At 41.5% G+C, this 23,593-nt stretch overlaps 1 protein-coding gene and 1 pseudogene across 1 annotated transcript in view; both read left to right on the top strand.

The window, feature by feature from the left end:
- HEATR5A (HEAT repeat containing 5A) overlaps positions 1–23,593 on the top strand; it is a 128,763-nt gene that overhangs the window by 85,790 nt on the left and 19,380 nt on the right. Inside the window, exons 23-28 of the mRNA NM_015473.4 lie at positions 8,419–8,598; positions 10,957–11,196; positions 13,081–13,262; positions 16,469–16,537; positions 18,812–18,991; positions 21,571–21,793. Coding sequence (NP_056288.2) covers positions 8,419–8,598; positions 10,957–11,196; positions 13,081–13,262; positions 16,469–16,537; positions 18,812–18,991; positions 21,571–21,793 — 1,074 coding nt within the window. The remainder of the gene's footprint in view (positions 1–8,418; positions 8,599–10,956; positions 11,197–13,080; positions 13,263–16,468; positions 16,538–18,811; positions 18,992–21,570; positions 21,794–23,593) is intronic.
- Positions 14,073–14,640, top strand: ATP5MC1P2 (ATP synthase membrane subunit c locus 1 pseudogene 2; annotated as a pseudogene).

The raw sequence follows: 23,593 nt of genomic DNA, 5'->3' as shown, positions 1-23,593 counted from the left end.
GTTAGCCAGGATTGTCTCAATCTCCTGACCTCGTGATCCACTCGCCTCGGCCTCCCAAAGTGCTGGGACTAAAGGCGTGAGCCACCACACCCGGCTGGCCATTTCTTAAAATAAGACAGCAATGAAGTTTGCCATATCCATTGACTTCCTTTCATGAAAGATTACTCTGTAACATGCAATGCTTTTTGATAGCATTTTAGTTAGAGTAGAACTTTGAAAACTAGAATCAGTTCTCTCAAACCTGCTACCACTTTATCAACTAAATTCACGTAATATTCTGAATCCTTTGTTGTAATTTCAACAGTGTTCACAGCATCTTCACCAGGAGTAGATTCCATCTGCAGAAACCATCTAGAATGATAATCCTTTCCAGAAGGTTTTCAGTTACTTTGCCTGGATCCATCCGTCTGTGGCAGCTGTAGCCTTATAAAATGTATTTTTTAAATAAGACAACTTGAAAATCAAAATGACTCCTTAATCTGCGAATGGATATTGTGTTAACAGGCATGAAAACAACATTTATCTCCTTGTACGCCTCCACGAGAGCTCTTGGGTAACTAGGCACATTGTCAGTGAGCAGTAATATTTTGAAAATAATCTTTTTTTTTTTCTGAGCAGTAAGTCTTAACAGTGGACTTAAAATATTCAGTAAACCCAGTTGTAAACAGATATGCTATCATCCAGGCAGATTTGGCATAGTTCTTTTTTTTTTTTTTTTTTTTTGAGACAGGGTCTGTCTCTGTCGCCCTGGCTGGAGTGCAGTGGCACGACCTGGGCTCACTTCAGCCTCTACTTTCCAGGCTCATGTGATCTTTCCACCTCAGCCTCCTTGGTAGCTGGACCACAGATGAATGTCACCACACCCAGCTAAATTTTTTTTTTTGTATTTTTTGTAGAGATGGGGTCTCACCTTGTTGCCCAGGCTGGTCTTGAACTCCTGGGCTCAAGTGATCCACCTGCCTCAGCCTCCCAAAGTGCTGGGATTACAGGTGTGAGCCACCATGCCTGGCCAATTAAGCATAATCCTTAAGAACCATGGGATATTTGGAATGGTCAGTGAACACTGGCATTAAAGTCACCAGCTGCATTAGCCCATCACAAGAGAGTCAGCCTATCCTTTGAATCTAGGAATTGGCTTCTCCTCTCTAGCTATGAAAGTCCCAGATGGCATCTTCCAGTAGAAGGCTATTTCATATACTTTGAAATCTGTTGTTTTAGGCTGGGCTCTCGCCTGTTATCCCAACACTTTGGAAGGCCGAGGTGGGTGGATCACTTGAGGTCAGGAGTTCAAGACCAGCCTGGCCAACATGGTGAAACCCCATCTCTATTAAAAATACAAAAATTAGCCGGATGTGATGATGGTGGGTGCCTGTAATCCCAGCTACTCAGGAGACTGAGGCACGAGAATAGCTTGAACCCGGGAGGCAGAGGTTGCAGTGAGCCAAGATCACGCCACTGTACTCCAGCCTGGGTGATAGAGCAAGACTCAGTCTCAAAAAAAGGAAAGAAAAAGAAAAACTGTTGTTTTGACCTTAGCTACGTCTTCTGGCTAACTTGATGAAGCTTCTATATCAGGATTTGCTGCTTTATCTTGCATTTTTATGTTATGGAGACAGCTTATTTCCTTAACCCCATGAACCAACCTCTGCTAGTTTCTACCTTTTCTTCTGTAGCTTCCTCACCTCTCCCAGCCTTCAAAGAATTAAAGAGAGGTAGGGCCTTGCTCTGCATCAGGCTCAATGTTGTGGCTGATTTGAACTTTTTTTTTTTTTTTTGAGATGGAGTCTTGCTGTGTCACCCAGGCTGGAGTGCAGTGGCGCGATCTTGGCTCACTGCGACCTCCGTCTTCCGGGTTCAAGCGAGTCTTCTGCCTCAGCCTCCCGAGTAGGTGGGATTACAGGTGCCCGCCACCATGCCTGGCTAATTTTTGTATTTTTGGCAGAGACGGGGTTTCATCATGTTGGCTAGGCTGGTCTTGAACTCCTGACCTTAGGTGATCCGCCCACCTCGGTCTCTCAAAGTGCTGGGATTACAGGCCTGAGCCTGATTTGAACTTCTGTCCAGATCACTAAAACTGTCTCTGTGTTGGTTAATAAGGTTGTTTATCTTCCTTATCATTTGTGTGTTCACTGGAGTAGCCTTTTAAATTTCCTTCAAGAACTTTTCTTTTGCATTCACAACTTAGATAACTGGCCTAAGAGACACTTAACTTTTAATCTGTCTTGGCTTTTGACATGCCTTTCTCACTAAGCTTAAATCATTTCCAGCTCTTGATTTAAAGTGAAGGACGTGTGACTCTTCCTTTCACATGAACACTGCAAGGCCATTGCGGTGTTATTCATTGGCCTAATTTTGATACTGTTGTGTCTCAGAAAATAGAGAGGACTGATTAGAATAAAAGAGATGGGGAATGGCCAGGAGAGAAAGAGAAATGGCTTGGAGCAGTCAGAACACACTCAACATTTATTGAATAAATTTGCTGTTTTGCGTGGGCATAGTTTGTGGCACTCCAAAACTATTAAAATAGTAACATCAAAGATCACCAATCAAAGATCACTGATCACAGATCATCATAACAGATATTATAATTTTTTGAACCCAAAAGAATTATGCAGTGAACATGTTGATTCATCTACTTAATGTCTTTATGACACTTATTTTATCGACATCTCCCTCCATATACACACGTAAACCTTTTGCCAAATCATCTTAAAGCAGGCCCCAGACATCATGACAGTTCACCCTAAATACTTAAGTTTGCATTTCCCAAGAAGAAGGATATGGTTTGGCTTTGTGTCCCAATCCAAATCTCATCTTGAATTACAATCCCCAGGTGTTGAGGGAGGGACCTAGTTGGGGGTGATTGGATCATGGGAGCGGTTTTCCACATGGTGGTCTCATGATAGTGAGTGCGTTCTCATGAGATCTGATGGTTTCATAAGGGGCTCTTGCCCCTTCAGTTCCTTCACACACACTCTCACCTGCTGCCATGTAAAACGTGCCTCTTCCCCTTCCACCATGATTGTAAGTTTCCTGAGGCCTCCCTAACAATGCAGAATTGTGAGTCAATTAAACCTCTTTCCTTTATAAATTACCCAGTCCCAGGTATCTCTTTATAGCAGTGTGAAAACAGACTAATACAGTAAATTGGTACCAGGAGTGGGGCACTGCTATAAAGATACCCAAAAATTTGGAAGCAGCTTTAGAATTGGGTAATAGGCAGTGGTTGGAATGGTTTGGAGGGCTCAGAAGAAGACAGGAAGATGTGGCAAAGTCTGGAACTTCTAGAGACTTGTTGAATGGCTTTGACCAAAATGCTGATAATAATGTGGACAATGAAGCCCAAGGTGAGATGGTCTTAGATTGAGTTGAGGAACTTCTAGGAATTGTAGTAAAGGTCACTCTTGCTATGCTTAAGCAAAGAGACTGGCAGCGTTTTGCTCCTGCCCTAGAGATCTGTGAAACTTTGAACTTGAGAGAGATTATCTGAAATTGGAATTTATGTTTAAAAGGGAATCAGAGGCTGGGTGCGGTGGCTCATGCCTGTAGTCCCAGCACTTTGAGGGGCTGAGGTGGGTGGATCACCTGAGGTCAGGAGTTTGAGACCAGCCTGGTCAAATGATGAAAACCCATCTCTACTAAAAATACAAAACTTAGCCATGCGTGGTGGTGGCACCTGTAACCCCAGCTACTGGGGAGGCTGAGGCAGGAGAATCGTTTGAACCCAGGAGGCAGAGGCTGCAGTGAGTTGAGGTTGCGCCACTGCACTCCAGCCTGGGCGACAAAGTGAGACTCTGTCTCAAAAAAAAAAAAAAAAAAAGGTGAGGGAAGCAGAGCATATAAAAGTTTGGAAAATTTGCAGCCTGAGGATGTGATAGAAAAGAAAACCCCATTTTCTGGGGAGAAATTCAAGCGCACTGCAGAAATTTTCACAAGTAACAAGGAGTCAAATGTTAATCTTTCTTTTTTTGAGACAGAGTCTCACTCTGTCGCCCAGGCTGGAGCACAGTGGCGCAATCTTGGCTCACTGCAAGCTCTGCCTCCTGGGTTCATGCTATTCTCCTGCCTCAGCCTCCCGAATAGCTGGGACTACAGGCACCTGCCACCACACCCAGTTAATTTGTTGTATTTTTTAGTAGAGACAGGGTTTCACTACTTGTTAGCCAGGATGGTCTCGATCTTTTGACCTCGTGATCCACCCACCTCGGCCTCCCAAAGTGCTGGGATTACAGGTGTGAGCTACCGGCGCTGGCCTCGAATGTTAATCTTTTTGCCAAGACAATGAAGAAAATGTCTCCAGGGCATGTCAAAGACCTCAACAACAGCCCCTCCCAGAGGCCTAGGAGGGAAAAATGGTTTTATGGGTCAGACCCAGGGTCCCCGTGCTCTGTGCAGCCTTGGGAATTGTTGCCTTGTGTTCCAGCTGTTCCAGCCATGGCTAAAAGGGACCAAGGTACAGCTCAGGCCATTGCTTCAGAGAGTGCAAGCCCCAAACCTTGGCAGCTTCTACATGGTGTTGGGCCTGCTGGTGCACAGAATTCAAGAACTGAGGTTTGGGAACTTCCACCTAGATTTCTGAGGATGCATGGAAATGCCCAGATGTCCAGGCAGAAGTCTGCTGCAGGGGTGAAGCCCTCATGGAGAACCTCTGCTAGGGCAGTGCAAAGGGAAAATGAAGGGTCAGAGCCCCCACACAGAGTCCCCACTGAGGCACTGCCTAGTGGAGCTGTAAGAAGAGGACCACTGTCAAGGCCGGGCATGATGGCTCACGCCCATAATCCCAGCACTTTGGGAGGCCAAGGCGGGTGGATCACGAGGTCAGGAGTTCAAGACCAGCTTGGGCAACATGGTGAAACCCCATCTCTACTAAAAATAGAAAAATTAGCCAGGCATGGTGGTGCATGCCTGTAATCCCAGCTACTCAGGAGGCTGAGGCAGGAGAATCACATGAACCTAGGAGGTGGAGGTTGCGGTGAGCCGAGACCATGCCATTGCACTCTAGACTGGATGACAGAGCGAGACTCCATCTCAAAAAAATAAGAAAAGAAGAGGGTCTCTAGACCCCAGAGTGGTAGATCCACTGACAGCTTACACTGTGCGCCTGAAAAAGCCACATATACTCAACGCCAGCTGTGAAAGTAGGTGGGGCAGGGGGCTATACCCTGCAAAGCCACAGGGTGGAGCTGCCCAAGGCTGTAGGAGCCCACCTCTTGCATCAGTGTTCCCTGGATATGAGACATGGAATCAAAGGAGATCACTTCGGAGCTTTCAGATTTTATGACTGCCCCACTGGATTTTGGACTTGCGTGGGGACTGCAGCCCAATTTCTCCCATTTGGGACAAGAGTATTTACCCAATGCCTGTACCCCCATTGTATCTAGGAAGTAACTAACTTGCTTTTGATTTTACAGGCTCATAGGCCTTGTCTCAGATGAGACTTTGGACTATGGACTTTTGAGTTAATGCTGAAATGAATTAAGACTTTGGGAGACTGTTGGGAAGGCATGATTGGTTTTGAAATGTGGACATAAGACTTGGGAGGGGCCAGGGGTGGAATGATATGGCTTGGCTTTGTGTCACCACCCAAGTCTCATTTTCAATTAGAATCCCCAGTTGTTGAAGGAGGTACCTGGTGGGAGGTAAATGGATCATGGGGACAGTTTCCCCCATGCTGTTCTCGTGATAGTGAGTTCTCACAAGATCTGATGGTTTTATAAGGGGCTCTTCCCCCTTTGCCTCCTTCACATGCTCTCTTTTGCTTGCTGCCATGTAAGACATGCGTCTTCCCCTTCCACCATGATTGTATGTTTCCTGAGGCTTCCCCAATCATGTGGAACTGTGAGTCAATGAAACCTCTTTTTTTTTTTTTTCCTTTTCTTTCAAGACAGAGTCTCACTCCGTCTCCCAGGCTGGAGTGCAATGGTGCAACCTTGGCCTACTGCAAGCTCCGCCTCCTGGGTTCAAGCGATTCTCCTGCCTCAGCTGCCCAAGTAGCTAGGATTACAGGCACCTGCCACCATGCCTGGCTAATTTTTTGTATTTTTAGTGAGATGGGGTTTCACCATGTTGGCCAGGCTAGTCTCAAACTCCTGACCTCAGGTGATCCACCTGCCTCAGCCTCCCAAAGTGCTGGGATTATGGGCGTGAGCCACTGTGCCTGGACTGAAACCTCTTTTTTAAATAAATTACCCAGTCTTGGGTATGTCTTTATAGCAGTATGAAAATGGACTAATGCAAAGGACATACCCATACATGATCACACACCTAAGAAAATCAATATTGATTTGCAGCCCTCACACACATTTCCCTAGTCATCCAAAAAATGTCCTTTATGATTCCTCTCCCCTCACTGCCACCTAAATCTAAGATCCAGTCATGACTCACATTACCTTAGCTATTATATCTTGTTAGATCCCTAATCTGAAACATTTCTATCACCTCCTTCTAATATTTAAAAGATAATTTCTCTTTTAAAATAGTCTAGTACCAACAAAACAAAACACCCACAAAGGCCAGGCACAGTGGCTAACTCCTACAATCCCAACACTTTGGGAGGCTGAGGCGGGTGGATCTGAGGTCAGGAGTTCGAGACCAGCCTGGCCAACATGGTGAAACCTCGTCTCTACAAGGTAATAAAAAAAAAAATTAGCTGGGCATGGTAGCACATGCCTGTAATCCCAGCTACTGGAGAGGCTGAGGCAGGAGAATCGCTTGAACTCAGGAGGCAGAGATTGCAGTGAGATTGTGCCACTGTACTCCAACCTGGGCGACAGAGCGAGACTCTGTCTCCAAAACAATAAATAAATAGAATAGTCTACTAATAATATAACCTTTCAAATCTACATGCTTTCATAAATGCTAGATGAGTTAACTCTTCAAGAGAAAATGTATTTGTCCTTTTGGCATTTTCAGAATTAAAGGTAATAGTAGATGCTAGATCAAGGCTAGTATTTCCCCTTTGAGGTATTACTTTGTAGTGAGAATATTGTATAGTGATATATGTTTATTCAGTAGTCCACAATAGCTTAGTTGTAGTAATTAAACAGTGTTCTCCATATAGTGTTTGTTTTCTGTTTGAGCTTTACTCTCACGTTAATATATTTTAAAGCTTTATACCAGAATAAGGAAAACTTAATTATGTTTTTTTAAAACTAGAAAATAATTATACTGGGCCAGGCGTGGTGGCTCATGCCTATAATCCTAGCACTTTGGGAGGCCTAGGCATGTGGATCACCTAAGGTCAGGAGTTCGGGACCAGCCTGGCCACTGTTGAAACCCGTCTCTACTAAAAATACAAAAATTAGCAGGGCGTGGTGGTGGTCGCCTCTAGTCCCAGCTACTCAGCAGGCTGAGACAGGAGAATTGCTTGAACTCAGGAGGCGGAGGTTGCAGTGAGCCAAGATTATGCCACTGCACTCCAGCCTGGGCAACAGAGCAAGACTCGGTCTCAAAAAAAAAAAAAAAAAAAAAAAAAGTGCCACTGGAGGCTGGGCACTGTGGCTCAACGCCTATAATCCCAGCACTTTGGGAGGTTAAGGTGGGTGGATCACTTGAGGTCAGGAGTTCAAGACCAGCCTGACCAACATGGTGAAACCCCGTCTCTACTAAAAATACAAAAATTAGCCAGACATGGTGGCAGGCACCTGTAGTCCCAGCTACTTAGGAGACTGAGGCAGGAGAACCAATTCAACCCGGGAGGCAGAGGTTGCAGTGAGCCGAGATTGCACCACTTCACTCCATCTTGGGTGACAGAGTGAGACTCTGTCTCAAAAGGAAAAAAAAAAAATTAAGCACTGAATAAAATTTGTAAGTATTGAGCTGGGTTCAGTGGCTCACACCTGTAATCTCAGCACTTTGGGAGGCTGAGATGGGTGGATCGCCTCAGGTCAGGAATTTGAGACCAGCCTGGGCAACGTAGTGAAACCCCATCTCTACTAAAAATAAAAAAAAATTAGCTGGGCGTGGTGGCGGGTGCCTGTAATTCTAGCTACTAGGGAGGCTGAGGCAGGAGAATTGCTTGAACCTGGGAGGCGGAGGTTGCAGTGAGCCAAGATCGTGCCATTGCACTCTAGCCTGGGCAACAAGAGTGAAATTCTGTCTCGAATAAAGAAAAAAAAATTTTGTAAGTATTGGACACTAATTGGGTAAAACTTTTTACCTGATTAAGAAAACATATTAATAATAACATATGAATACTTTTTTTCAGTGACATTACATAAAATACTGCTATATAGGATCATAAATCCCAAAATTCAAGTGTGAACTAAAATGGATCTCAGTAGATTAAAGCACAGTATTTGGGCTAGTTCTTTAAGATGTATTTTTATCTACTATTTGAATAACTACTGAATGTGTGAGCTTCTGATATGGTAGTTTTGTTTTCTGTATTACTTAGATAATTGATTTTCTTCTTGTCAGATGCTAACATCAGAGAAGTTGGCCTTGAGGGGGCATTGTTGATCTTACTAGACAAGGAGACAGATGAGAGATTATGCCATGATATCAAAGAGACTTTAAATTATATGCTTACATCTATGGCAGTGGAAAAACTCTCCCTGTGGTTAAAGCTTTGTAAAGATGTACTTGCTGCATCAGCTGGTAAGTATTGGACATTATCAGTTAAAATAATAAAATTGAAATTTGAAACTTTACATAAAATTGTTTACCACTGAGAATTCATCAGTCTTGTCTAACTAGCTGGATTCTGACTGTCTGATTGTTGCTTTTCTTCAAATGAAGATTGTATTTCTAGTGTTTTAGAATTCTCTGTAATTTGAACAATATAAATCCAATACTTAAGCCTGCTCTTTTTCCCTTTGGCTGTCTTAGATGACTTTCCTATATAAAACAAATTAAAAAGTAAAGTTATTGTTTATGCCCTAAAAGGTGTGACTTGATGTATATTGTTCCCATCATTTCTTTTCATACATACAACAAATATTTGAGACCAGGTGTGGTGGCTTACCCCTATAATCCCAGCACTTTGGGAGGCTGAGGCAGGCAGATTGCTCAAGTCCAGGAGTTTGAGACCAGCCTGGGCAACGTGGCAAAACACCATCTCTACAAAAAAAAATTTTTTTTTTAATTAGCTGGGCCTGGTGGCTCACACCTGTAGTCCCAGCTGCTCGGGAAGCTAAGATGGGAGGATTGCTTGAGCCCGAGAGGCAGAGGTTGCAGTGAGCCAAGATCACACCACTGCACTCCAGCCTGGGCAACAGAGTGAAACCCTGTCTCTACATACATACATACATACATACATACATACATACATACATATGTTCATACATACCCACCCCACCCCTCGCACCGTATGAAATTACTTAGTCACCATAAGAGAAAGTTATACAAAGTTATGACATTTTGAGCAAGCCAGTTTCACTACATACAATAATGTTAATTTCAAGTAGTATTAGAAAACTGTTATTACCCTAATGTCTTTAGTAATACAAGATAATTGTTCATGAGAAAGTATATTCAAATCTTTAAAATTTGTATCCTTGGAGTAAGAGAGAAAATAAATGAGAGGAAGAGAGAAGAGAAAAACCAGTTATTTTCCAAGAACTGTATATAATTTATCTGATTTAAGCCTTTAACCCATTCTATGCATAGACAATTTTATTCTGTTTTATAGAAGAGAAAATAGGCTTGGAGAGGTAACCTGCCTGAAGACATAGACAGATTCAGTCCTACGCCTACACAACTTTTAAAATCCACAAGCCTTCCACTGTACTTCAGTGCTCCCAACTCAGTTGCCCAAGCCTTAGAATTTAATGTAGCTCTCATGTCTGAATTGTGTGATAGGAGAAAAGTTAACACCAAATTCCTGGAATGTTTTGTATTCTCTGCTCTGACTATCTTGATTCTTATTGGTCCCTCTTCCAATGGTTTACACTGGCTGTTTCAACTATTACGCTTTACATATTTTATTTTTCTAATTTTCTCTTCTGTTCCCCACTACTCAAGAAATTGCAAGGACTTCTTTAAAAGAAAATGTCGCCTGAGCCCAGGTGTTCGAGGCTGCAGTGAGCCATGATTGTGTAACAGAGCAAGATCTTGTCTCAAAAAAAAAAAAAAAAAGAAAATACATGTGTGCATAGACTGATTACATTTTCCTGGTGTCTCAATTATCTTTTTTAAATTTTGCATTCATACTCCCTGAGCTTGCTCAATTTTATCTTGCCATTAATTCTTCATCTTCTGAGGTTTGGCTCCATACCTTCTCAGGAAAACACCTTCCAGGCTCTGTTAACTTGACCATAACTTTATTTGTGACATGTTTGGTATTCTAACGTGCAAAAAAATATTGACATACGGGATAATATAAGAAAAGCAGTTTGGTTTGTTTCATAGCATTAGTTCCATTTTCAGTTGTTAAACAGTTTGTAAGTGTAACAGTTAATAAGTAGAGGAGATAATTCACTACTCAGTGACCAGCTATCATTACACCTTTGATACTGTAATGGTAGCAATGAGTCTATCCTAAGAAAAATATTTTCAGACAATTTCAGTAGATTCAGGAACCTCCTGAAATCCATGCAAGGCTCCAGTGTTAAAACAGCCTTCCCAATGTATCCCACCCACACCCGAGAATTTTGAGTCTCCTTAAGTACATCCATCTACTTGCAGGGGATTGATAATTATTTCAGTATCTACTATTGTGTTTGTTTGTTTTTTTAAATATTTTTTATTGTGTTTGTTTTTTACTTTGAGTATAATTTAACAGCTTGGTCATTTTGACCTGGAACAGTTCTTAACAGCATCTCCTTTAGACAGCTGTTTAGTTGTATGTAGTTATTAGACCTAATTATTTGATGTTATTAAAAAGATGATTGATCAGTAGCAATTGATAGTTGAGCAATTCTAGTCTGAATTTGAAGTCATTTTTTTGTTCCTTTTGATATATATATATATATCTTTCAGTTGATTATAATTACATATGTTCTCCTTTAATAAAAGATTTTACAGCTGTAACTTGTGTGGATACAATGCAAGAAGAAGAAGGAGATAAAGGGGATGATGCCTCAGTCCTGACCACCAGACGTGATGAAAAATCCCATCCTTTTACCAATCCCCGATGGGCTACTAGAGTCTTTGCTGCTGAATGTGTCTGTAGGATAATTAACCAATGTGAGAATGCTAACAGTGCACATTTTGACATTGCTTTAGCACAAGAAATGAAAAAAAGAGATTCAAGAAGTAAGTGACATAGTGATGAAAACACCAAATGATATGTGTAAAAATGCTGTCTGCTTATGGTTTTAATATTTAAAATATTAAAATATTTTTTTAAAATGAAACTAGCCAGACACAGTGGCTCATACCTGTAATCCTAACACTTTGGGAGGCTGAGGCAGGAGGATCACTTGAGCCCAGGAGTTTGAAACCAGCCTGGGCAACAATGAAACATTGTCTCTATTAAAAAAATTTTTTTAATTAGCAAGGCATGGTGGCATGCACCTATAGTTCCAGCTACTGGGGAGGCTGAGGCAGGAATATCACTTGAGCCCAGGAGTTTGAGCTTGCAGTGAGCCGTGTTCACATCACTTCATGTTTAAATACATTTTTAATGGTTAAGCTTCTTATATTGGCATTCACTTTAATGAGCAGGTGCAATGCATTAAGTTTATAGAAAATAATTGGTTCTTGGGAAATAGTATGAACATTTACTAGTTCTCAAAAATTATTTCCTGGTTTGTAACTTGGGCCAGTTTTTGCTTACAGATTATTTTAGTATCATAGATATTAACTAAAAAACATTTGAGCCTTTCTCAGTGTTAAGTAAACCTGATTGTAAGACCATTTTGACCACCTCTTACTGTTTAACTGTATTATTTTTACCTATTTATGTTTGCCTTTATGGTTTGATGTCTGATTTTTTAAATTCACTTAAGCTCATATGTTCAAAGACACAATACATATTTGTGTTTTTTTTTTTTTTTTTTTAGACAGCATTTCACTCTGTCACCCAGGCTGGAGTGCAGTGGCATGATCACAGCTCACTGTAACCTCAACCTTCCAGGCTCAAGCAATCCTCCCACCCCAGCCTCCCGAGTAGCTGGGACAACAGGCATATACCACCATCCCCATCTAATTTTTTAATTTTTCTGTAGAAGTGAGATCTTATTATGTTGCCCAGGCTGTCTCAAACTTCTGGGCTTAAGTGACTCTCCCACCTCAGCCTCCCAAAGTGCTGGGATTACAGGCATTAGCCACCACACCTGTCCACAGTGCATATTTCTAAATTCCTTAGAAGTATTCTTTACCAGACAAAAGAATTACAAAGCAAAATGTTGCTGTTGCCAGTCTGAGTATGAATTAGGTATCTCTGGTTTAATTATTTTTAAGTATGCATTTATTGAGTCTCTTGTGATGAGCACTTTGCTAGATACTTTACAGTTACAAAATTTACATACTGTAGATACTTAACTGATTCCTGTGCTCTCAGTTAAAGTTGTAGTTGGCATTTACTAAGACGTGATTTCTTCTGTTAAATGATTTTCTTATATCTCTCCACAGGAGATATGTTATACCAAACAATGTGTTGTAGGAATGAAAGGAATTACCATTTATCATTTCTACGACTAGAAATGTTTTTTATACTCCCACCATTTGTATGTTTGGCAGTATATGTAAAAATAAGATATTGTCGTTCATAGAAAGAGCCGCATAAAACTTTTTTTTAAAGGAACATTATGTCTTAGCTTCAACCTGACATAAAGAAAATAAATTTCTGCTTAATTAGTCAAAGCCCAAAGTCTCCTCCATACCAACTAATGTACTTTTATCATAAAAGCTGAACAAAATTTTATTGAAGATACTATTAGGACACTTAAAAAATGCTAATTCTGCCCTGAGTAGCTGGATATACTTACTAGCTTTGGGACAGTTTTCTTGTGTGTATTTGCAGTGTACATTAAATCCAGCTTTAAAGTCTCTATTTAACAAACAGCAAAAACAGTATATCAAGTCAGAGGTACTTAAAGGAGGAAAAATTATCACTTAATGTAAGTCTTAGTTCCAGCACATTTTTTTGATATTTTCTAATCTTTTTTTCTCCCAATATGTTTTTTAATCTTATAGATGACTTTTTGGTACTGCATCTTGCTGACTTAATTCGCATGGCTTTTATGGCTGCCACAGATCACAGTGACCAGCTCCGTCTTTCTGGCCTTGAAATGCTGTTAGTTGTTATTCGGCGATTTGCAACTGTTCCAGAACCAGAGTTTCCAGGTCATGTGATTCTGGAACAGTATCAAGCCAATGTAAGCACTTTCTTTTAGAGAATTTTATTATTAAACACACAGATAAAAAGTCTATGAGGCCAGGCATGGTGGCTCATGCCTGTAATCCCAGCACTTCGGGAGGCCAAGGCGGGTAGGTAGCTTTGAGCCCAGGAGTTCAAGACCGGGCAGCATGACGAAACCCCATCTCTACCAAAAATACAAAACTAGCTGGCATGGTGGAGTGCACCGGTAGTCTCAGGCTGAGGTGGGAGAATCACTTGAGCCTGGGAGACGGAGGTTGCAGTGAGCCGAGATTGTGCCACTGCACTCCAGCCTAGGTGACAGATCCAGACCCTGTCTCAAAAAAAAAAGTCTGAAACTGTCTGAGGATGGGAAAGTTAAAAAAGAGGAAGAAGAAAGGGGGAAAGAGAAAGGAAGAGAGGAAGGAAGGGAGCAAGGGAGGGAGGGAAGAAAGGGGGGAGGATCTGTCTATGAACCGAATTGGGATATCACCTCGTAAATGAGTAGGTATCTCTGCTAACGTATCACCAGTATATTCCATATATAGAAAGTACATGTGTTTGAAGAAGAAATCTTTCAGCTAATATTTTATAAAGCTTCAAGTAAAAGCAAAGTACATAAAACATGTCTTTTGGGCAGGGCAGTATGCCTGTAGTCCCAGCTCCTTAGAAGGCTGAGGCAGGAAGATCACTTGAGCCCAGAAGTTCAAGTCCAGTCTGGGCATCATAGGGAGACCTCCATCTCCAGAGAGGGGGAAAAAAAATGGCCCTGTTAAAGAAAACAAAAATAAAAAAACAAGTGTTTTGTAACTTTAAAGGTTGATTTTCCGGGTGGGGGAAGCTGAGTGCTGAGACCAAGGGCTAAAGCTGGGAGACTGAAAAAATGCAGACCACCGGGGTATTACTCATTTCTCCAGCTCTGATCTGCTGTTGTACCAGGGGTCTAATCAGGCCTGTGTCTGCCTTCTCCTTGAATAGCCCAGAGAATTCATCTAAACAGCCTTCCTACAGCAGCTCCCCACTCCAGGTGGCCAGACGGGAGTTCCAGACCAGTGTTGTCTCCCGGGACACTGACACAGCCGCCAAGTTTATTGGTGCTGGGTCAGCCACAGTTGGTGTGGCTGATTCAGGGGCTGGCATTGGAGCGGTGTTTGGCAGCTTGATTATTGTCTATGCCAGGAAGCTGTCTCTCAAGCAGCAACTCCTCTTCTATGCCATTCTGGGCTTTGCCCTGTCTGAGGCCATGGGGCTCTTCTGTTTGATGATCTCCTTCTTCATCCTGTTCGCCATGTGAGGCTCCGTGAGGGTCACCTGCCTGTCCCTGCAGCTGCAACTCCGCGCCATTCCTGGTGCTGGGGTGTGCTAAGCTTTACCATTAAACACAACGTTTCTCTAAATAAATAAATAAATAAATAAAGGTTAATTTTCATAATATATATAACCTCTTTCATTTATTTTCTAGACTTAGGAAATGATTCAGATTTCTGTGGGGTTTGTGTTGTTGTTGTTTTTGAGACAAGGTCTTACCCTGTTGCCCAGGCTGGAGTGCAGTGGCATGATTTTGGCTCACTGCAACCTGAAGTAGCTGTAACTACAGCCACACGCCACCACGCTCGGCTAATTTTTGTGTTTTTTTGTAAAGACAGGGTTTTACCATGTTGCGCAGGCTGGTCTCAAACTCTTGGGCTCAAGTGATCTGTCTGCCTCCACCTCCAACGTGCTGGGACTACAGGCATGAGCCACCAGCCCCAGCCCAAGGATTCAGGTTTCTATTACTGGTTTTGTAATCTTTTTAACTGATTATTTGACTGGTCCATTGAACAATTTAAGAAGAACAAGGAAGATAACAAAATCATTAGCTGTCTTGTAATCCTCTAGCAGCATTCATCCAAGGAGATCTCTCATTATTATTCAGAAGCAACTTCTGATGGCTAGCAGTTAGGGAGACCAGAGCAGTTCATCAGTTGATTAGCAGTCTTCATGACTTCGTTCAGCTAATACCAACATATGCTTAGGGACAAAGCAAAATGAAGGGATTAAAGTTACGTAGAACTGTCATATTAGAGGCCGGGCGCGGTGGCTCATGCCTGTAATCCCAGCACTTTGGGAGGCCGAGGTAGGCGGATCACCTGAAGTCAGGAGTTCGAGACCAGCCTGGCCAACATGGTGAAACCCCATCTCTACTAAAAATACAAAAATTAGCCAGATGTGGTGACAGACGCCTGTAATCCCAGCTACTCCGGAGGCTGAGGCAGGAGAATCACTTGAACCCAGAAGGTGGAGGTTGCAGTGAGCCGAGATCATGCCATTGCACTCCAGCCTGGGGGACAAGAGTGAGACTTTGTCTCAAAAAAAGAAAAAAAAGAACTATTATATTAGAATGAAATATTATAATTCAACTTAATTAAGAGGAGTTCTGTTATATTTTTAGCCCTCTTACAATCGCAAGTGCTAGAAATACAATTAGAACTCAAGCAGTAAAGGAAAATTATTATTAGGAATCTCTTAATTGTCTCTGCTTTCTTCCACAGTGGACTTATTCTCAGGTTTATTCTCTCCAAGTGATATCAAGATGGCTCTCTTAGCACCCAGGGCCTCAGAAAGATACAGTGCTTCTTTCCCAGTACTCCCAGTGAAAGTCTTGAGAGCCTTCATTATCCCAGCATGAGTCCCTGGAGCCAGGCAATGCTGTCAGCTCCAAAACAACAATATGGATTAAGAGTTGGGGAGAGGCTGGGCACAGTGGCTCACACCTGTAATCCCAGCACTTTGGGAGGAGGCAGTTGGATCACTTGAGGTCAGGAGTTGGAGACCAGCCTGGCCAACATAGTGAAACCCTGTCTCTACTAAAAATACAAAATTAGCTGGTTGCGGTGGCAGGCACCTGTAATCCCAGCTACTTGGGAGGCTGAGGCAGGAGAATCACTTGAACCTGGGAGGCGGAGGCTGTAGTGAGCCGAGATTGCGCCACTGCACTCCAGCCTGCCTGGGCGACAGGGCGAGACTCCGTCTCAAAAAAAAATAAAGGGGGAGAGAAGATCGTTCCCCGAAGGTAAAATTGGGATGTTGTTATCTAAAAACAGGGGAAGATACACTGGGTAGACAAAACAACAGCTGTCCATAATACCTGTTATAAATAAATAATTTTAAAATAACATTAAAAAGAGGGAGAACTTGTGCTGTCTTACTTCTTGATGTTTGATATGTCATGTAATTTCTTGCCAGGTAGGAGCAGCGCTTAGACCAGCCTTCACTTCAGAGACACCACCTGATGTCACTGCCAAAGCATGTCAGGTAAATGGTTAAAAGATGAAGCTTAAGAGATAATCTTGGGAAGCAGTCCTCCAGTTAGTATTTTTTTACCAATGTTTTTTCTTTATGGTTGTCTTACCGTCAATCATAGCTTACACTTTTCTTCTTAAACTTACTCTTCCTTTTTGATAACTGCATGATAATCCACTATATAGATATGTTATAATTTATTTAACCAGTTCCATATTGACGGACATTGGGTTTTTTTCTTTTGCTATTAGAATAGTGCTGTATGAGTGACCTTGTGCATAGGTCATTTCACTGGGTGTAAGCATATCTGTGAGATAAATTCCCCAAAATTGAATTGATGGATTCCCCCAAAATTGAATTGATGGATAATTGATGGATATTAGAGGTGTTTACCATTTAAATTTCCACCAGCAATGTTATACAAGTACCTGTTTTGCCACAGTCCCAGCAACATTGTGAGTCATCAAACTTTTACATTTTTGTCTATACGATACAATAAAAAGTCTGTCTCAGGATAGTTTAGATTTGTATTTCAAGTGAGATTGAGCACTTTTTCATATACTTAAGAGCCATACAATATACAATTTTAAACAGTTGCTTTTCTCAGACTGCGTTGTCAGACACTTAATATCCAGCCCTAGGCCAGGTACAGTGGCTCACGCCTGTAATCCCAGCACTTTGGGAGGCCAAGGCAGGTGGATCACTTGAGGTCAGGAGTTAGAGACCAGCCTGGCCAACATGGTGAAACCCAGTCTACTAAAAATAGCTAGGCGTGGTGGCAGGTGTCTGTTGTCCCAGCTACTCAGGAGGCTGAGGTGGGAGGATCACTTGAACCTGGGGGAGGCAGAGGCTGCAGTGAGCTGAGATCATGCCACTGCACTCCAGCCTGGGCGATAGAGGGAGACTCCATCTCAAAAAAAAAAAAAAAAAAAAAAAAAAAATCTAGCCCGGGATGACCTGAACTAATTAAAAGCAGGACTGGCATGAATAAATTAATTATAAGCATAGTGGGAAAAACTAATTTTAGTCAGTTCTTTCAACTTTCTTTTATTTAATTGTACTTGGGAAATAGTTGAGTGCTTTTACTATTCAGAGAACTACATTAAATGTATGAATCTCTAATTTATTATAACTTTACTATGTGTGTTCTTGCTGTAAGCCACTTGAAATATTTTGTGAGATGAGACAAGAACTAAACAAATACACAGAAGAGGAAAAATAAGTTTTCCTTAGAAAAAGAGAAATATCAGCTGGACACAGTGGCTCATTCCTATAATCCCAACACTTTGGGAGGCGCAGGCAAGTGGCTCACTTGAGTTCAGGAGTTTGAGACCAGCCTGGGCAACACGGGGAGATCCTTTCTCTATAAAAAAATAAAAAATTAGCCAGATGTGGTGGTATGTGCCTGTGGCCCTGTCTACTCAGGAGGCTGAGGTGGGAGGATCCCCCTGTGGAGGTCAAGGCTACATGAGCTGTAATGCCACCACTGCATTCCAGCCTGGGCTACAGAGCAAGATCCTATCCCAAAAAACGAGAGAGAAATATCATGGCACCTGGAAAAACCATAGCTTGAGTAAATGTTTTGCATTGTAGAATTAATGATGTTTTGTTTTTAAGATTAAAATTACACTGTCTTCAAAACAATCAAAATTTTTGTTGGGGTTTTATTATTTCATAGCTTCATTTCTCCATATTAATACATCTAGAAATGTTTAATTTATATACTCATTAGCACTGATTTCCTTGCTTCAGCCTTAGACTTCGTTCCCTTTGGAAATGCTGACTTTTGACTATCATTATCAGTCTCCTTCCATAGGATTTCTCGAAAGCAATAGCAATATAGTCTCAGTGACTAGATTCTTGAAATGTGAGTGAGCTCTGCTGAACTCACAAGGGAGATTTTTTTTTTTAAGAGATGGGCTTTTTTTGTTTGTTTTTTGTTTTTTAAGAGATGGGGTCTCACTCTGCCACCCAATCTAGAGGTCTAGATACGTGGCTCAATCCTAGCTCACTGTGGCCTCACACTCATGGGCTCATGCAATCCTCCTGCCTTAGCCTTCTGAGTAACTAGTACTACAGGTGCACATTACCATGCCCAGCTAATTTTTGTATTTTCTTTTAGACAGAGTTTTGCCATGTTGCCCAGGCTTGTCTCAAACTCCTGGGCTCAAGCGATCTGCCTGCGTCACCTCCCAAAGTGCTGGGATTACAGGCATGAGCCACCACACCCAGCCAAGGGAGATACTTATAATTTTAAAATATAACTTTTAATTTCTTGAAAACTAGGTTTGCAGTGCCTGGATAGCAAGTGGAGTTGTAAGTGACCTTAATGATCTCCGAAGAGTTCATCAGTTGCTTGTTTCATCGTTAACTAAAATACAGGCTGGAAAAGAAGCTCTAAGTCACTTATATAATGAAAGTGCTTCTACCATGGAGATCTTAGCTGTGCTTAAAGCCTGGGCAGAGGTTGGTATTTCTTAATTTGTAACTGGAATTTTGGAAGTTGTTAATAAACACCTTAGGCCATAAACTGAAATTTACTGTTTAAAATGAACTACAAATAAGTTCATTTTTAAGGTTAAACAAAAAGAATTCCAACATGTGATGTATTTATATGTTAATATGTTAGTCAAGCATTTTAAAGAGTCTTCCGTAGTCTATTATCTCCTACTTTAAGCAGTGCTACTTATGAGCCAGAGAGACTTACAGTAGCCAGTGGAAATCAACATTTATTGAATCCTGAATTATTGGAAATTTGGGTCTCCTTGTATCTTCTATCAACTCTGTAGCATGTAATGCTTTCTAATGCTCTTTCGTAGAATGATTTTTGAATAGTAAGTAGTCGTTATTTTATTTTCCAAGGATAAAGAAATCTTACAGTAAGATGCTTATTTACTTTCCTAATAAAGGAGAAAGCTATAGTATTTTTTAATTTACTATGCAATGTTTAAGCATTTGCAAAAGTAGACCTAATAGTATTTATAATGAATCTACATATACCCATCACCTGGCTTCAGCAGTTACCAAACATGACCAATCTTGGTTCACATATAATTTTTTTGTAGACAGAGTCTTGCTCTGTTGACGAGGCTGGGGTACAAATGGAGCAATCTCAGCTCACTGCAGCCTCCACCTCCCAGTTTCAAGTGATTCTCGTGTCTCAACCTCCCAAGTAGCTGGGACTACAGGTATGCATCACCACGCCCAGCTAAGTTTTGTATTTTTAGTAGAGATGGGGTTTCATCGTGTTGGCCAGGTTGGTCCTGAACTCCTGACCTCAAGTGATCCACTCTCCTCTGCCTCTTAAAGTGCTCGGATCACAAGCATGAGCCACCACGCCTGGCCCAGTTCACATACCATTTTAATGAAGGTATGTAATCTCAGATTTCATCTAAGAGATTAACCAACATGTACAAAAGGGTTTCCTCCAGTAGAGGTATTTTAAACCTGAAAGTTGTAGAATCTTTATTTTTGTCATTATTTAGCACAACCTTCATTAGGAAGTAGTTGTGCCTAGATTCAATAAACTGGGTCTGGCCAGGTGCAGTGGCTCATGCTTGTAATCCCAACACTTTAGGAGCCCAAGGCAAGAGGATTACTTGAGGCCAGGAGTTCAAGATCAGCCTGGGCAACATACTGAGACCCCATCTCTATATAAAATTTTAAAAATAAATAAATTAGGCCGGCACGGTAGCTCACACCTGTAATCCCAGCACTTTGGGAGGCCAAGGTGGGCGGATCATCTGAGTTCAGGAGTTCGAGACCAGCCTGACCAACATGGAGAAACCCCGTCTCTACTAAAAATAAAAAAAAAATTAGCCAGGCGTGGTGGCATATGCCTGTAAATCCCAGCTACTCGGAAGGCTGAGGCAGGAGAATTGCTTGAACCCGGGAGGCAGAGGTTGCAGTGAGCCAAGATCGCACCATCCAGCTTGGGGAACAAGAGCGAAACTCCATCTCAAAGAAAAGAAAATAAATAAATAAAATAACCTCAGCGCGGTGGCTCACGCCTATAATCCCAGCACTTTGGGAGGCTGAGGCGGGCAGATCACTTGAGGTCAGGAGTTCAAGACCAGCCTGGTCAACGTGGTGAAACCCCATCTCTACTAAAAATACAAAAACCAGCCAGGCATGGTGGTGCGCACCTGTAATCCCAGCTACTTGGGAAGCTGAGGCAGGAGAATTGCTTGAACCTGGGAGGCGGAGGTTGCAGTGAGCTGAGATGGCACCACTGCACTCCAGCCTGGGTGACAGGGTGAGACTTCTTCTCAAAAAAATAAAAATAAAATAAAATAGACTGAATCTACATCTCTGTGCTTTTGCTTAAGCCTGTTACCTCCTCATATTATTTCTTCAATAAAGATAAATAATGACTGACCAATATATATCTGGGAAGTCTGGGGCAATACCATAGAATCTATAATCAAACACATTAATGTTTGAATATTTATACTGTGTTGTGTATATAGATTTAAATGGCCTCACATAAGTTCATCAGTTTTCCACCAGATTAGTTTGCCAAAAACTTAGGTTTTTTCAGAGCTTTTTGGATTTTAGAGTTGTAGATAAAGGGATAGTGCATGTTATACACTGTGTTGCTTACTTTAACATTCTATAATCCATATTAAATCTATTTGTGTACACTTTTTATAGAGCTTTAGTGATACATTTGAATGAAAATATATTCAGTATTTCAGTTAAGAGATGGCTACCTGTAGCTGTATGTTAAGATGGATTATTAGGCCATACCAGGCTTAGTGAGAAAGAGTGCCGTGATATAATATTATGATTGTAAATGTGAGAAGTGGCATCATATTTACCAGATATTTGTTATCCCTAATGCATCTCATTGAAGATAGTATTTTTGACTCTTTCTACCCCAGTTTTCTGTGTGTAGTTACACAGACAGGCCTTCTTGATATCACAGTGCATTTCAAGTCCAGTATGCTCAAAGGTAAGTCTGCCTCTTCAGGAAGATATAAAAATTTTATAGCACCTTTTCAGCAGATAAAAGATTTTCCTGTTTTTAAATTAACCTTTAACAGGTCTACATAATTGCTGTGCAAAGACATAAAAACCACAGACAACCTTTGAAGACTACCACCTGTTTAGAAGACGGTATCAGAAATGGATCATGTTCATCAGATGGACTGCTTGACTTAGTCTATGCAGATCTTGGCACACTAAGCAGACTCTGGCTTGCTGCACTTCAGGATTTTGCTCTTTTAACTTTGCCTTCAGAATTTGCCTCCCAACTTCCTGCTGAAGGTAAGGAGATAAAATACTTAGATAATTCCTAGAGTGACAGTAACACATTTTCTTTTCTTTTTTTTTGTTTTTGACAGGGTCTTACTTTGTTTCCCAGGCTGGAGTGCCATGGTGCAATTTTGGCTCACTGCAACCTCTGCCTCCTGGGCTCAGGCGATCCTCCCACCTCAGCCTCCCAAGTAGCAAGGACTACAGGCACACACCACCACGCCTAGCTAATTTTTGTATCTTTTGTAGAGATGGGGTTTTGCCTTGTTGCCAGGCTGTTCTCAAACTTCTGTAATCCCAGCAGTTCGGGAAGCTGAGGCAGGCAGATCACTTGAGGTCCTGAGTTCGAGACCAGCATGGCCAACATGGTGAAACCCCATTTCTACTAAAAACACAAAAGTTAGCCAAGTGTTGTGGTGAGTGCCTGTAATCCCTGCAACTCGGGAGGCTGAGGCAGGAGGATTGCTTGAACCCGGGAGGCTGAAGTTGCAGTGAGCTGAGATCGTGCCACTGCACTCCAGCCTAGGTGACAAGAGTGAGACTCTGTCTCAAAAAAAAAAAAAAAGGACACACCCACCAGCAACTTGTTTTCATTTCTCCACACTGTATTATCATACTTAATAATTTTTGCCAATCTGATGGCTATGAAATATTTCATTGTTTTATTTTCTTATTTCCTTGATTAAGAATCTTTAAGTTGTTTCTTCCATAAATAATGTAGTCATAATCTTTGCCCATCTGCTATTTGGTATTTATTTTGTTGTAAGATACAATGAATCTTTCTGAGTTTCTCTTCAAAAGATTTAGCCTTTAACTTCCTTACCCTTTGTTCTCAAACTCAACTTTCTTGTTTCTCCTTGCCTCTACTTACTGTAAACAGCCTACCCTCTCCCTGTCAGTTTTAATTGATAACTCACATCTGTTCCTTTGGTTACCTGTACCCATTGTCCTCCCGAAACTGCACGTCCCACATGCTCCACCACTGGACCTCACGTCCCCCTCCCTTCCATATTTAGAAAAATATATACAAGTGGCCATTCGGGTCAGCTCAGATTGTGCAGTCCACAGCCCATGGGGGAAGAACACAGAGATACAGATCACATTAGGATATAAAAACCCCCTTGTCTCCTTTGTTTGGTGTGCACTTGCGATCTTGATTGATGCGAGTGACACCCTTTTGCAAAAGTAAATTGCCTTGCTGAGGAAATTAAAATTATATCCGAGTGCTGTTTCTTTTGCAGCATCAGAAATTCATTTATAACAATTGTTTTCTTCCTGATTGTTTAATCTTTTTTATATATATATATATACACAACACTATTCGTTTGTGGTTGCATGTCTTGTAAGTATTTTCTCTCAGTCTGTAACTTGTCCTTTTCTTTTACCTTTTTTAAACTAATATAAGCTGGGTGTGATGTAGTACACCTATAGTCCCAGCTACTCAGAAGGCTGATGTGGGAAGATCTCATGAGCCCAGGAGTTGGAGGCTGCAGGCAGCTATCATCGTGCCACTGTACTCCAGCCTGGGTGACAGAGCAAGTCCCTCTCTAAAAAAAAAAAATTAAAAGAATGTAATCAGTCAGTCATTTATGGTTTGTGTTTTTGTATGTTACCGCATACATTTTTAAACTTAAGATCATAAAGACATACAAGCTTTACAGTTTTGCCTTTTACATTTTGAACTTTGGTAAAACTGGAATTTATTTTGTGTGTGTGGAAATAGGGATAGGGTTCTTATTTTTAATCAGTTACTAGTACTGCATTTTATGGGTTGGTTACTTTGTAGCCGCTCTTAATCTTCTTCATGTTATT

The sequence above is a fragment of the Homo sapiens genome, chromosome 14 (assembly GCF_000001405.40).
Source record: "Homo sapiens chromosome 14, GRCh38.p14 Primary Assembly".
In the NCBI taxonomy this organism is placed as follows: domain Eukaryota; kingdom Metazoa; phylum Chordata; class Mammalia; order Primates; family Hominidae; genus Homo; species Homo sapiens.
Note: the sequence above shows the minus strand (reverse complement) of the source record. Positions and strands in the feature narration are given on the sequence as shown.